The 13,534-nt window shown below is 44.9% G+C and overlaps 1 protein-coding gene across 7 annotated transcripts in view, besides 5 other annotated features; it reads right to left on the reverse strand.

Moving 5' to 3' along the window:
• DENND2B (DENN domain containing 2B) overlaps positions 1 to 13,534 on the reverse strand; it is a 217,600-nt gene that overhangs the window by 128,003 nt on the left and 76,063 nt on the right. For 2 of the 7 annotated variants that reach the window (NR_164814.1, NM_001376495.1), the window contains one exon: positions 10,202 to 10,334. The exons of the other annotated variants lie outside the window; for them this stretch is intronic. The gene's annotated coding sequence lies outside the window, so the exon portion shown is untranslated. The remainder of the gene's footprint in view (positions 1 to 10,201; positions 10,335 to 13,534) is intronic. 7 annotated transcript variants of the gene reach the window in all.
• Positions 7,206 to 7,705: an enhancer, noted in NCBI's record as "H3K27ac hESC enhancer chr11:8850107-8850606 (GRCh37/hg19 assembly coordinates)". NCBI's record gives its function as "activates a minimal SCP1, AML or CMV promoter by ChIP-STARR-seq in primed H9 embryonic stem cells {active_cell/tissue: H9 hESC(primed)}" and the evidence as "EXISTENCE:reporter gene assay evidence [ECO:0000049][PMID:30033119]".
• Positions 10,486 to 11,287: an enhancer, noted in NCBI's record as "H3K27ac-H3K4me1 hESC enhancer chr11:8853387-8854188 (GRCh37/hg19 assembly coordinates)". NCBI's record gives its function as "activates a minimal SCP1, AML or CMV promoter by ChIP-STARR-seq in primed H9 embryonic stem cells {active_cell/tissue: H9 hESC(primed)}" and the evidence as "EXISTENCE:reporter gene assay evidence [ECO:0000049][PMID:30033119]".
• Positions 11,237 to 11,556: an enhancer, noted in NCBI's record as "active region_4393". NCBI's record gives its function as "activates an Ori minimal core promoter by ATAC-STARR-seq in GM12878 lymphoblastoid cells {active_cell/tissue: GM12878}" and the evidence as "EXISTENCE:reporter gene assay evidence [ECO:0000049][PMID:35858748]".
• Positions 11,237 to 12,088: a biological region, named in NCBI's record as "H3K27ac-H3K4me1 hESC enhancer GRCh37_chr11:8854189-8854989".
• Positions 11,288 to 12,088: an enhancer, noted in NCBI's record as "H3K27ac-H3K4me1 hESC enhancer chr11:8854189-8854989 (GRCh37/hg19 assembly coordinates)". NCBI's record gives its function as "activates a minimal SCP1, AML or CMV promoter by ChIP-STARR-seq in naive and primed H9 embryonic stem cells {active_cell/tissue: H9 hESC(naive and primed)}" and the evidence as "EXISTENCE:reporter gene assay evidence [ECO:0000049][PMID:30033119]".

Here is a 13,534-nt window from a genome sequence, read left to right on the forward strand (position 1 = left end):
AAGGTGGGAGGATCTCTTGAGACCAGGAGTTCAAGACCAGCCTGGGCAACATAGAGACCTTGTCTCTACCAAAAATAAAAAAAAAAAATTAGCACAAGCCTGTAGTCCCCGCTACACAGGAGGTTGAAGTAGGAGGATCACATTAGCCTAGGAGATAGAGGCTGCAGTGAACAGTGATCACGTCACTGCACTCTAGCCCAGGAGACAGAGAGAGATCCTGTCTCAAAAAAAAAAAGAACTAACTTTAAATGGCAATTACGAAGACTTTATTAGCATGGGAGACAACGCTAATTATGCATAATAAAGCTATAACTACATTAAAATGTAAAGACATATGCAAGTGAAAAAAATTTATACCAAGCAATAATCATGTTAGCAATTTTTTTCCTTTTTACTAAATTCTACATATTCTACACTGCTGCTATTGTAGATTTGTTTTGTTTTGTTTTGTTTTTGAAACAAGGTCTGGCTCTATCGCCCAGGCTGGAGTGGAGTGGCAAGATCTTGGCTCACTGCAACCTCTGCCTCCCAGGCTCAAGCAATTCTCCCACCTCAGCTTCCCGAGTAGCTGGGACTACAAGTGTGCACCACCACACCCTGCTAATTTTTTTATTTTTTGTAGACAGGGGGTTTTGCCATGTTGCCCAGGCTGGTCTCAAACTTGTGAACTATTTTCTACCATTCAACATACATTTATTTTCTTAAATTAAATCAATTACTGGTAAGGACACAGGAGATTTTAAAGTTAATAGTAGCATTTTCTTTCTTAAGCTAGGTGGTGGGTCACTTAAACTATACATATAAAAATAGACATTCTACATATTTTAAATAATTTCTCAATTTTTTCCAACTTTACTGAGTTATGATTGACAAAAGTTCTATATACTAAAGATGTACAGCATGATAATTAGATATACTAATACACTGTGAAACAACTATCACAAACAAATTAACACATTCATTACCATACACAGTTACCATTTTGTGTATGTGGTGGGGAGAGGTGAGGACACTTAAGACTTACTCTCTTGGCAAATTTCAAGTAAACAATACAGTATTAACTATAGTCACTATGCTGTACATTAGATTCCCAGGATTTATCTTATAACTGAACGTTTAGCAACATTTTTTTAAAGAAAAGATTTCAAAAGTGGACTCTTTCCTGCAACCTTCCGCTTTGACCTCGGACTCACGGAGCCACTCCAACAAGGTACTGAGATAGGATTTAAAACTGTCAGTCAACTGGATACTTTCCACCTCTGTGAAGAGAATCTAACGTGGACTGTACCATCCCCATGGCTTCTAAAGGTTTCCCTTTCGAACTCTGCAGGTGGGCTAGTTTCGGCATTCCATTCACACTCAGGACTGTTCTTTTGTTTTTCCTCCTTTCCCTACCAAGCTATTGTTCATTCCCTTACATTTTTAATTACATATAATCTCTTCTAGCATATTCATCTTTGAATTTCCAGCAGGCTGTAATGCAGTACTTTCTTTGTACATAGCAAGTGCTCAAAAAATATTTCTTAATCAATATCATAGGCAAAACTCCAGAAAAGAATATATAAAAAGTGGCAAGGACTCAGAGAAGGAAGTATTGATCCCTGGAGATTAAGTACAAATCGCATCAAGAGACATCATTACTTTTAGTTAATGAGGTTACTATATAATTATTGTAGGGAATAAAATAGATAATACATGTAAAACACTCAGCAATAGCTAGTAAGTGATCCATAAATAACAGATTGGGGACTTAAAAAGTAATATCCATACATATTTACACAATATATATTTGTATATAATATATATATCATAAATGAATACACACATATGCACATACATATGGCAAAGAATGTCAGGGACATAATTTATCTGGACTTCAGAAAAATCTCTCTTGATCTTTAAAGAAAAAAAAATCAGAGATGCACCGGCAGCTGGATGGACTGGTAACTCAGGACAGCTGGGTCCAAACAGTGCTATGAAATGAATCTGCATCAACCAGGAAGAGGAGCTCTGGAACTCCTAGAAGTTTAGGCACATCCCATCTGTTTTTATCACATTTATTGATTTGCATATGTTGAGCCATCTGATATGGTTTGGCTGTGTCACCACCCAAATCTCATCTTGAATTGTAGTTCCCATAATCCCCAGGTGTCATGGGAAGGATCCAATGGGAAGTGATTAGGTCATGGGGGCCATTTCCCCCACGCTGTTTTCATGATAGTGAGTGAGGCTCATGAGATCTGATAGTTTTATAAGCTCCTGGCATTTCCCCTGCTTACACTCATTCTCTCTCCTGCCACCCTGTGAAGAGGTGCCTTCCACCATGATTCTAAGTTTCCTGAGGCCTCCCAGACATGTGGAACTGTGAGTCAATTAAACTTCTTTCTCATATAAATTACCCAGTCTTGGGCAGTTCTTTATAGCAGCATGAGAATGGACTAATACACAATCCTTGCATCCCAGGGATAAATCCCACTTGATCATGGTACATGAACCCTTTTTTTCCTTTTTTTGTGACTTGAGGCCACTGCTCATTCTTCTTCTTCTTCTTTTTTTTTTTTTTTTTGAGATGGAGTCTTGCTTTGTCGCCCAGGCTGGAGTGCAGTGGCGTGATCTCAGCTCACTGCAACCTCCGCCTCCCGGGTTCAAGCGATTCTCCTGCTTCAGGCTCCCCAGTAGCTGGGACTACAGGTGCCCACCACCACGCCCGGCTAATTTTTTGTATTTTCAGTAGAGGTGGGGTTTCACCGTGTTAGCCAGGATGGTCTCGATCTCCTGACCTTGTGATCTGCCCAACTAGGCCTCCCAAAGTGCTGGGATTACAGGCGTGAGCCACCATGCCTGGCCTCTTTTTTTTTTTTTAAGTTCAGGGGTGCATATGCAGGTTTGTTATACAGGTAGACTTGTGTCATGGGGGCTTGTTGTACAGATTATTTGATCACCCAGGTATTAAGCCTAGTACTCATTAGTATTTTTCCTGATCCTCTCCCTCCTCCCACCCTTCACCCTCAAGTAGGCCTTGGTGCCTGTTCTTCTCCTCTATGTGTCCATGTGTACTCAATGTTTAGCTCCCATTTATAAGTGAGAACATGCGGTATTTGGTTTTCTGCTCCTGCATTAGTTTGCTAAGGATAGTGGCCTCCAGCTCCATCCATGTTCCTGCAAAGGACATGATTTCATTCTTTTTTTATGGCTGCATAGTATTCCATGCTGTATATGTACATTTTCTTTAACCAGTCTACTGCGATGGGCATTTAGGTTGATTCCATGTCTTTGCTATTGTGAATAGTGTTGCAATGAACATACATGTGCTTGTATCTTTATAATCAAACAAAATTTTTTTTTTTTTTTGGAGACAGAGTCTTACTCTGTCACCCAGTCTGGAATGCAGTGGCACAATCTCGGCTTGCTGCAGCCACCACCTCTCAGATTCAAGCAATTCTCCTGCCTCAGCCTCCGAGTAGCTAGGACTACAGGCGCACACCTCCACACCCAGCTATTTTTTTTTTTTTTTTTGTATTTTTAGTAGAGACACGGTTTCGCCATGTTGGCCAGGCTGGTCTCGAACTCCTGACCTCAAGTGATCTGCCTGCCTCGGCCTCCTGAAGTGCTGGAATTACAGGCATGAGCCACTGCACCCAGCATCTTATAATCAAATCATTTATATTCCTTTGGGTATATACCCAGTAATGGGATTGCTGGGTGGAATGGTATTTCTGTTTTTAGGTCTTTGAGGTATCGCAACACTGTCTTCCACAATGGTTGAACTAATTTACACTCCCACCAACACTACATAAACATTCCTTTTTCTCCACAACCTTACCAGCACCTATACTTTTTTGGCTTTTTAATAACAGCCATTCTGACTGGTGTGAGATGGTATCTCATTGTGGTTTTGATTTGCATTTCTCTAATGATCAGTGATGTTGAGCTTTTTTTCATATGCTTGTTGGCCACATGTATGTCTTCTTTTGAAAAGTGTCTGTTCATGTCCTTTGCCCACTTTTTAAAAATGGGTTTTTTTTTTCTTGTAAATTTGTTTAAGTTACTTATAGATGCTGGATACTGGACCTTTGTCTTATTAGACTCAGTGTGCTGTTGAATTCTATTTGCTAGTATTCTGTTAAGGATTTTTGCATCTATGTTCATCAGGGATGTTGCCCTGTAATATTCCTTTCTCTTCCCATTTATTCTAGATCTCATCATGGTTACCCTTTTTATCAATGACTTGGATAAGACACAATTATCAAATATGTTTATGATAAATTAATTGGGAGGGATAATGAATATACTAGATATAATCAGAGAGAAAAGCCTCCACAAACTGGAACCATAGGTTAAATACGGCAAGATGAAATTTTTAAAGGGTAAAATATGTAATTTTACACTGAAGCTTAGAAAAATACTGCAAGACAACAGGATAAAGATGGTTATTAGTGAAAAAGACCTGAGGAAAGGTTCAATATGAGTCAACTGATGAGCAAATGTGATTTTGAGTTTAGCTGACAAAACACAGGGCCCAGATCAAATGAGATTCATGTCCTACTCTGCTCCATTCTGGTTAGAACAAAAGTGTTTCCAGGGGACATATATTATATTTGCAGTCCCGGGGTAAATGGAGTCTTGAATAACATTTCAGACAAATATATTGAAAGAAAAAAAGGAAATCAAGTCTTTTGGAGCCCCTTAAACTGAGAAGATAACACGTCTGATTCATGAGGTTGTAAGTTCTCCTGCAGAACAAGAAGATAGAAAACTACCGCTTTTATCCCCACGGAGTCATCTCTGGGGAATAAAGAACGCTCACAGAAAGAAGAGACAGCTGGGCCCTGCCTGACCTGCCCTTTGTCCCTCCTGCTAGTCACATCAAAACCTCCCAGCTGGGGCTCTGACCATCCGAGCTTTATCAAGGATATAGAGCAGCTCAGGAATCCAAACAATTCTGACCCATCATCTCCCCAAACCATGGTTCACTACAAGCAGAATCACAGTGATATTTTTAACTATCAGAGTGAATTCTTGTGGATCTTTAACCTCCTATACTAAGCTGTCATCTGATAGCTGTTGTGAGCAAGGACTCAGGCTTAAATGCTGTAACCGAAACATTAGATGGTAGGAATGCAGCATTTCAGCTTCTTCAGGGATTGCTGGGATATAGACATACCAGCTTATCTCCTGTAAAGGAACCCTATGATGCTTCTTCTAAGGATCTGGGGAGAGAGAAGAGCAGTGGCCATTCAACATCCGGTTCTTATCCTAGGAACATGGAAGGCGGCCCTGATCTACAGATGAGTCATACTAAATAAACGTCAACATCCTACAGGAGAAGATGCCATTTTTTAAACTATCTTCTTTTTCCCCAAGGTTAAGAACTTAGAAGTTCCTAATCTATGCAATGATTAGCTCCTTATCTAACAAGACATGCACTGGGCCCATCCTATGTTTCTGCGGAAGAGAGCTAGTTTGCCTTTGTGTAAAAAGAGGTCCTTATGAATGTTCATTCACTTAGAGATCAACATTGAACAACCTGTGTGATAGAGAAATCAATTAGACCCCACGATTCAAGGAAGGGAAGATGAGGGAGATGATGAAAGGAAAAGCAGAGGAATGTGGAGGGAACGGGGAGAGTAGAAAGCAATTTAAGATCTTGAAGGACAGAAACAGGAGGAAGCTTGTTTGGAAGTCTCAGAGTGGCAAATTTGGGGGAATTCCTGAGCATTACTCCCAGGGATGTCAGGGAACATACTTGAGCACCACTTAGCCTTTTGAATTTGCAGGAAAGAAAGAATTCAGAAAGCCTTTATTCCCTCCCTGTCTGGGGCTCCTTACCCTGGGGTGATACATCTGCCTACACCCCACTTAGCTGGTTGGCTGAGCTGTGAACGACTGAGAGGAGGAAGGCAGAGTGAAAAGAACAAAGGGTCAAGGACTACTGTCCCCCGCACAGCTAGTGCCAGCAGAACACTCCCTTCTTACAAGGCCATGGGACTCCAGAGGCTAAAACTGGTAGATGCTAGCTCATCTCAAACCCGAGCAGATAAAGGAAGTCAACGATTTCACAGTTCTCCTGAAGGTGATGAAAGATTATAGCCACTCATCTCCAATGCAGACAGCCTCTGCCATCAGTAATGCATGACACAGCTCTTCTAAGGTAAAGGCCCAGAGGAGATGAAGAAGGGGTGCATACTCTGGGAAAATTTGGCAAGATGAGGCTTGACTCTCTCTGCGTGCTCCCAAGACAGTTACCAAGTTACCACTGCTTTGTCACAGAGGGTCCAAGACCCAGAGAGATGCGAGAGTTGTCAGAGGCTTAGAGACTTATGTGGTTGGGATTTGGGGGCTTGAAGTGTTTTTTGTTTTGTTGTTGTTTTAGTAAATAAGACTGTCTCAGCAAGCTTCTGAAGGGTGAACCCTGTACCTCTGTTTTATCCAAGATGGCTAGGAAGAGAGACAGCTCAACGACATCTGACTTCACCTTATGCTCTGAGGGTTGGGAGAGAATGGGATAGACTTTCCAAATAAAATAACAATTTGCCAGCCACAAACTTCCTTCCTCTACTATCCAGGTAATCCATTTCCTCCTTAAATCCCTATTGCACCAGACTGGAGGTGGGGAGGGGGAACGGGGGTGGACTGTGGCAATGTTGTGTGGAGGAGACAGGGACAAAAATGTGAGACATGGACCCAACTGCTGGCTATGGAACTTGGGATGGACCCCAAGGCCAAGGCCATTCAGACTAAACTAAGAGCACCATGAAGTTTACTACCTTGAGAACCTCTTGAGTTCTCAAGGAAGAGAGCTGTTCCTGCCTACAGTGGCTGGGGCAGAGATCTAAAGCAAGTAAAGGACCAGACAGACGCTGAGAACCTAGAAGGAGCACACAAAGCCTAATTCAGCCTCATGACCTTGACTTCCTCTTCCAGAAGTGCCTGGACACAGAGCAGTGCACCTTCAACAGCACAACTCGGCCGTTAAGGCTGCACCAAAATTCATTCAGGAGCCCAGCCCTGGGCAAAGCAAAGCCTCCTGCCCCCCAGGATGCAGCACTTCTCTGGTTTGTCTTCAGGGGCTCCAATGCAGCTGTATCTGCGGGGAAGCTGGGGGTCAGGACGCAGACCACAAGAACCCACTCTGTGAGGGGTCACTGCTTTCAAGGACACCAAAGGGGACCCTCATCTCTGCGTTCCTTTCTTCCACCATGATCCCTCTCTGCTTCCTCTCCTGCCATGTGGGGTGGTGAGAATGGGGACAAGCAGGGCGGACCGAGCACTCTTTTAATAGGAAACAAGGACTCGGAGGTGACCAGCTGCAGAGGTGAGCAAAGCTCCAGAAGGACTCCAGCTTCTGACCCGGATGGCTGAGTGCCACCACCATTTCAGGGAACACTGACCAAACAGAAGATTCCACGCTGCTTTGCTGCGGTCATGTCTGAGTTTACCCAAGAGGGGAAGCTGCTCCAACAGAGGAAGTTAATTAGACCAGACAAGAGCGGGGAGCAGAGGTGGAAGACAGGGATGAGACAAGAAACTGTGGAGGACAAAAAGTAAGATGAAAGGAAGGAGGGAGGCAGGGAAGGGAGGAGAAAGTGTGTGTGTGTGGGGTGTGTGTGTGGGTGTGTGTGTGGTGTGCATGTGTGTGGTGTGTGTGTAGTATGTGTGGAGTGTGTTGTGCGTGTGTGTGTATGGTGTGTTTGTGTGTGGTGTGTGTGGTGTGGTGTGTATGGTGTGTTTGTGTGTGTGGTGTGGGTATGTGGTGTGCTTTTGTGCATGTGGTGTGTGTGCATATGTGTGGTGTGTGTGTGGTGTGTAGTATGTGTGGTGTGTGTGGTGTTTGTGTGTGTGGTATGTGTGTGCATGTGCATGTGCAGCATATGTTGTAAGAGGAGGTGGGAGAGGAGTGGGTGACACATCAGAGCCGTCACTGCAATGCTGAGCCCCTGGCTGTGGTGATGACTGGCCACAGCGCAATTCAGCAGTGGTGTCTTTGCAGTCAGCTTCCGTGGTCAGCACAAGGCAAAAATCATGTGGAGTCAAGTTATCTTGAAAATTCCCTTAGAAAGGCACCACACTGGAGACCCGCCAGTCTCCGGGGAGCCCCATTCAGTACTATTCATATACATTATTTTTGTGCACTCCTATGAATCTGAGAACTAGAAGGACCCAAGGAGTCCATCTTCCTTCTCTGTGGTTCTCAAAAACAATTCTGAGGAGCTGAACCATTGATATGGTCTGAATGCTTCTGAGTAAGTTTCTCTCAGCTCTCAGAGATTGGTTTATCACCTAATGTTATCCAGCCAGACGGACTTCCTGCGAAGCCCACACTCTCTTCCATGCTGCTGTTGTCTTAAAATTGTCTTAGGAGGGAGAGGCCTATATCACGGGTCCCGCCCCACCACTAAATAGCTGTGTGTGCTGGGAACAGTCGCTTCCCCTTTCGTCCCCAATCTCCCCTTCTATAAAACAGAGCCAGACTAGATGAACTCTAAGAGCCCAGACAATGCTCTGCTGAATGAAAAAGTGCTTTGAAAAGTCCAAGTACTTCACAAACAGAACGTGTCAGTATTGGTTAGCTCTCACAGGTCAGAAACGTTGGTGTCTTCCGTCTTGCCCCTCAAGTTCATCCTTCATGTCAGTCCTGCCTCATCTACTCTGGAATATTCTCTAGGACTCGCCCCCTTCCTCTCTCCTGTTGCTGACCTGCCAGGTCCTTTAGCAGGCCTCCTCACTGCCTTTCTCTGGCCTCTCCAAAATTATCCTATTTTCATCGATCTACAGGAGAGATTTCCACAAAACTCCACCTTCACTGCATCACTTCACATCACCTATGTAATGGCAGGACTTCCAGAGCTCAGGTCCCTGGCTCTGCTCTGCCACACCTACCCCTCCAAGGTAGATCATCGCCGTGACACTGGAGTGAACATCTCTCCTTTCCTTATAAAGTTGACCCAACTTTAAAGACCAGAAAAATCCTGCCTCCTCCAAGGAAAGTTTTCTGTGGTTTTAAGATACAACTTTCTTGTTCTGAACTATAAATGTATCCATGGTTCGTAAACCAACACAGTTAAGATCTTGGATATTCTCTACTTGTTTAACAAACACTGTCTCTCCCAATAGCTTATAAATTCCCTCAGGTCAGAAAATAAGCTTTATTTAATATTTGCATCACAATGTCAGTGGAGCTGAAAATTCAGCGAGGGCTGCATTGCCTTACTGCCTGATGGTGGAAAGAAAGATCTTTGTTATCTCTCCAGCCCTTGACAACTCACAGGGAATGTTGGGGTACAGAGGAAGGAGAGAAGAGGTGGAATTAATACCCTCCCAACTCCTAAAGTATCTTCCCGCCTGTTCCTCCCTGCTTTCACCCACTCTGGTGGGGGAAAGAGCCCCCATCACAGGCTCCAATCCACCTATTCTCTGAGGCTGAGCCTGAGCCCATCAGAACAGCATGCAGACAGCTCTATTTAGCTCCATTCTTCATGTTCTGATCCGCCCGTGTGATAGCAACAGCTGCTCACAGTGCCTGACAGTAGTGGGAAGATAAAAGGAAGAAAGAGACACATAAGAAAGAAAAGCCAAGACCAGTAGTCATCTTCTAATATATATTTCATACCTGGGCCCTGGAGGGAAATCTGCTTCAAATTAAGCCCCATCTGTTCTCAAGCCCCCAAAGAGGCAGAGCACCCATGAGAAGGGCTCTATACCCTGCCAGGGCACAGACACCAGTGAAGATTGGCAGCTGCAAAGAAGGATGGCATCCTTGAGGAAGCCAACAAACTGGGAGGTGGAGCCCCTGGCTGACCAGCCCATTCTTAGACTCAGAGCCTCTGCCCCACAACACATGACCCCAAGACCTCCCTGATAGGTAAGAATCACATAAGTATGTAATGGGTGTAAAATGGGGAGGATTGTCAGGAGATCGGCCCAATTCCCAGAGGAAAGCATTCCTGGCCATCACACCCAAGGTACTCAGCAATGCAAGCATAACCTAGCATGCCTAAACCCACCTTCCCCACTACTCCTGGCTTCTGGCCACTCGGGAGCAAATACACCTCTGCAAAAGTCCCAGCTTTTGTGCTCCCCACAGCCAGCCCCCACCATCGTCTCTCCAGATCTTCTCCTGTTTATAAGATGCATTCACTCCTAATCTCCACTTCCAGACACACACACACACCCTTGGGTAGACACAGGGCAATAAGCCTACCTCTCAGGCTCAACTTCTGGGCTGCACACAGTGGGGTGGCTTGCTCCCGTAATCCCAGCACGTTGGGAGGCTGAGGCAAGAGGACTGTTTGAGCCCAGGAGTTCAAGAGCAGCCCGAGCAACACAGCAAGACCCTGTCTCCATAAAAAAAAGATGGAAAAATTAAATTCTGTAGGATTCACTCCCTAAATAATTAAAAATTTAAACTTAAATTTTAAAAAACCAGGCTTAACTTCTACCCAGTGTGTGTTCATGCTCCCTTGGGCCCTTTCTGCTTGCAGGAGCTGATGATGCTGGGTGCACTCTGAAAGATTTTAAACCTGGTAAGGATGGTAATGCCTTCAGGGGCCAGAGGATGCCTTCACAAACCATTCAGAGTGTCAACAGAGCCAGACTGGGGAGACGTCCAGTTATACCAAGACCAAGAGGCAGATTCTCTCATCTGCCTCTAAGCTCCTTCCTCACAAAAGGTATCTGCCACACCCATCTCCAGTGCCAAAGATGGATCACAGCCGACTGAGCCGACTGTCTCTCCTCCTACCCCTCACCCCCGCCTTCCAGAGTGACAGCGAGACAGGAAAGCAAGTTGGAAAATTTTTAAAAGAACCAACACCTCGGCCAGGCACAGTGGCTCACGCCTGTAATCCCAGCACTATTGGAAGCCGAGGTGGGCGGATCACAAGGTCAAGAGATCAAGACCATCCTGGCCAACACGGTGAAACCCCGTCTCTAGTACAAAATACAAAAATTAGCTGGGCATGGTGGTGCACACTTGTAGTCCCAGCTACTCGGGAGGTTGAGGCAGGAGAATTGCTTGGACCGGGGAGGCGGAGGTTGCTGTGGGCCGAGATTGTGCCATTGCACTCCAGCCTGGCAACAGAGCGAGACTCTGTCTCCAAAAAAAAAAAAAAAAAAAAGAACCAACACCTCATCACAATCCATGAAAAGCTAGCTCCTGGCTCTAGGACTGCAAGAAAAGGGAATTCCACCTTCAAACTCCTGGTTACCTTCCATGGCTGGTCTCAGTGGAACTAGCATTCCTCCTCACAGAGGCATGAGGCAGCCACACCCCACACAGCCCCAGAGCCCAGAGGCAGAGTTGGGCAGAAAGGAATGCAGATAGTTTCCCAGAAGTGTCTGGCCGAGAAGGAAACCAAGAGCTTACCCACAGCTTCCTGGGCCCTGACTGGGAGGCACTGGGTTCTCACAACAAGGATTCTGGCAATTCAGGGATGGTGAGGCCCTTGTATGTGAAAGCCCACAGGAGGCGAGGACACAGTGGTGGGAAGAGGCCCTGACAGAACAAGCCTGGGCTGGCCCCAGACGGCTTCCAGTAAGCAGCGGCTGCACTTGAATGTCAGCAAGGGTCTTAGGGAGACCCGAAGCAATCCAGTCACAGGGGAGCCCAAGGCAGGCACGCAGATGTGAGGTCGGATCCTCTTAGCATAGGCTTTGGCGTCACCTGCTTTCCAGGAAGCAGGCTTCATTTTCTAACACATCTTGAGGGAGGAGGGCAAACCGGAGGGGAAGCCCAACATCTGACAGGCCAGCAAAGCTGGTGAGCAGATGGGCTCTAATGCCTCCCAGCTTGATTCTCTCAGTCATGCTTCAGAGGTCATAAGGCTTTTTTTAGTCCTACTGTTAGTACCACAGCTCCCAGAAGCCTGTGCTTCCTCCAAATTATGACCCTGTAAGGCTCTGTTCTAGGATAAGCACAGGAGAAGGAGCAGAACACAGAAAGAGTTATTAAAGATGCCTTCCTGTTATATACTAAGTGTCCACGTGAAGGATATCAAAATAAAATAATAAAATAATTTTAATTTAAAAGTGGATTACATCATTAACTGTTTCCTTTGCAAGGAAAGGGCAATTCCTAATACAGATTCCATAAAATCCAGATGACACTTCCCCTTCTCATATACGACCTGGACTCTGAAAACCTTAATCAGTTGCTAGCATTAATACAAAATACACACAGAGACACATATAGACACACGTCTGTTCTTCAAAGCTTTGTTCGGGAAGCCAAAGATACAAGAACCCTTCCAACTTCATGTCCCTATGGGGATAACAGGAGGCACAGAGTTAAATATGGTTTTTCCCAAGCAAAGACCTTGGCTGCGAATAGGATTAAGGGTGGCTCTGGACACCCCCACATGCAGGAAGAAGGCTAAGCACCTGGAATCTCCCCTTCCTCCACAGCACCAGTAAATGAACTGATGTCATCTCTCTGGTAGCCAAACATGTCTGTCTCCCAGCCCCTAGGATTTCACCCATCCTTACCTCAAAATTGCATAATAAGGGTCTGCAGCTGGTTAGTTCAGTTACTCACAGCCTGGTGCCAGTGAAGCAAAGGTAAAAAGTTGGCTACTTAGAGCCATTAGTTTCACCTTACCCTGTGGCCACAGATTTTAACTGTTTAAACCTAGATCAAAATGCATGCTGCTTTTTTCAGAGAGACAAGACCAAAGATGAACTCAAAAAGAGCATCCCTGGGCACCACAGAAAGAAGGACAAAGATAAAATCAGCTGTGACTGTACTTCTTTGGAACGGGATGACACATGCTGATCCCCAAGCAAGAACATCTGGATAAGCTTTCCCACCCTCACAGGAAATTTTCAGTCACCTGGAACCTAGTACAGTTTGGAAAGTCATTCTATTTTCCTGAACTGTTCATTCCACAAGGAGATGCTGCAGTTTACACACAGTGCACTGGGACATCTTCAGTTTTCATAGATTAGCAGCATATGCGTCCTACAGGAAAGGTCTGTAGCTTTAAATTAGACGCTTTCCATCCTAAGACCTGATACAGCATTGCAACAAGAATGTATTATTTCCTTGTCAAAAATCAGAGGAGATAACTCCACTAACCCCACTAAACAGTAAGTTTAAAGAATGCGATCCTGTCATAATTACATCATGATTTTCAAAGTGGGAGAATTTCATTGGGTTTTAAGCTCAAGTTTTTCCCAGTGTGACACACAGTGCGAAAAAGAAAAGAGCTTAGGCAAAGTTAGGCATGGCACATTCCAGCTCCTCTAGCCGAGACTGAAGAAAACAGACCTAGCTTTCCTGACCTGCTCCCGGAAGCCCTTGGAAGCACTTTTCTTCCTCTTCATGCAATGGGAACAGAGTCAGTCTCTTCTAGAGCAACTTCACCAGCAGGGGCCAGAGGGTGAACAGACTGTGTTTTCACTAAAAGCTCCTTTTTCAGGCAGTCGCCCTTTATAGGTTGAAGACAGTTTTCCACAGAAACAACACCAGACATGGTAGCCAGATGCGCAGACAAGCTCATTAATGAACAACATGGCTGAAATACTGTTTATACATAAT

This window comes from Homo sapiens, chromosome 11, assembly GCF_000001405.40.
Source record: "Homo sapiens chromosome 11, GRCh38.p14 Primary Assembly".
Lineage (NCBI taxonomy): Eukaryota > Metazoa > Chordata > Mammalia > Primates > Hominidae > Homo > Homo sapiens.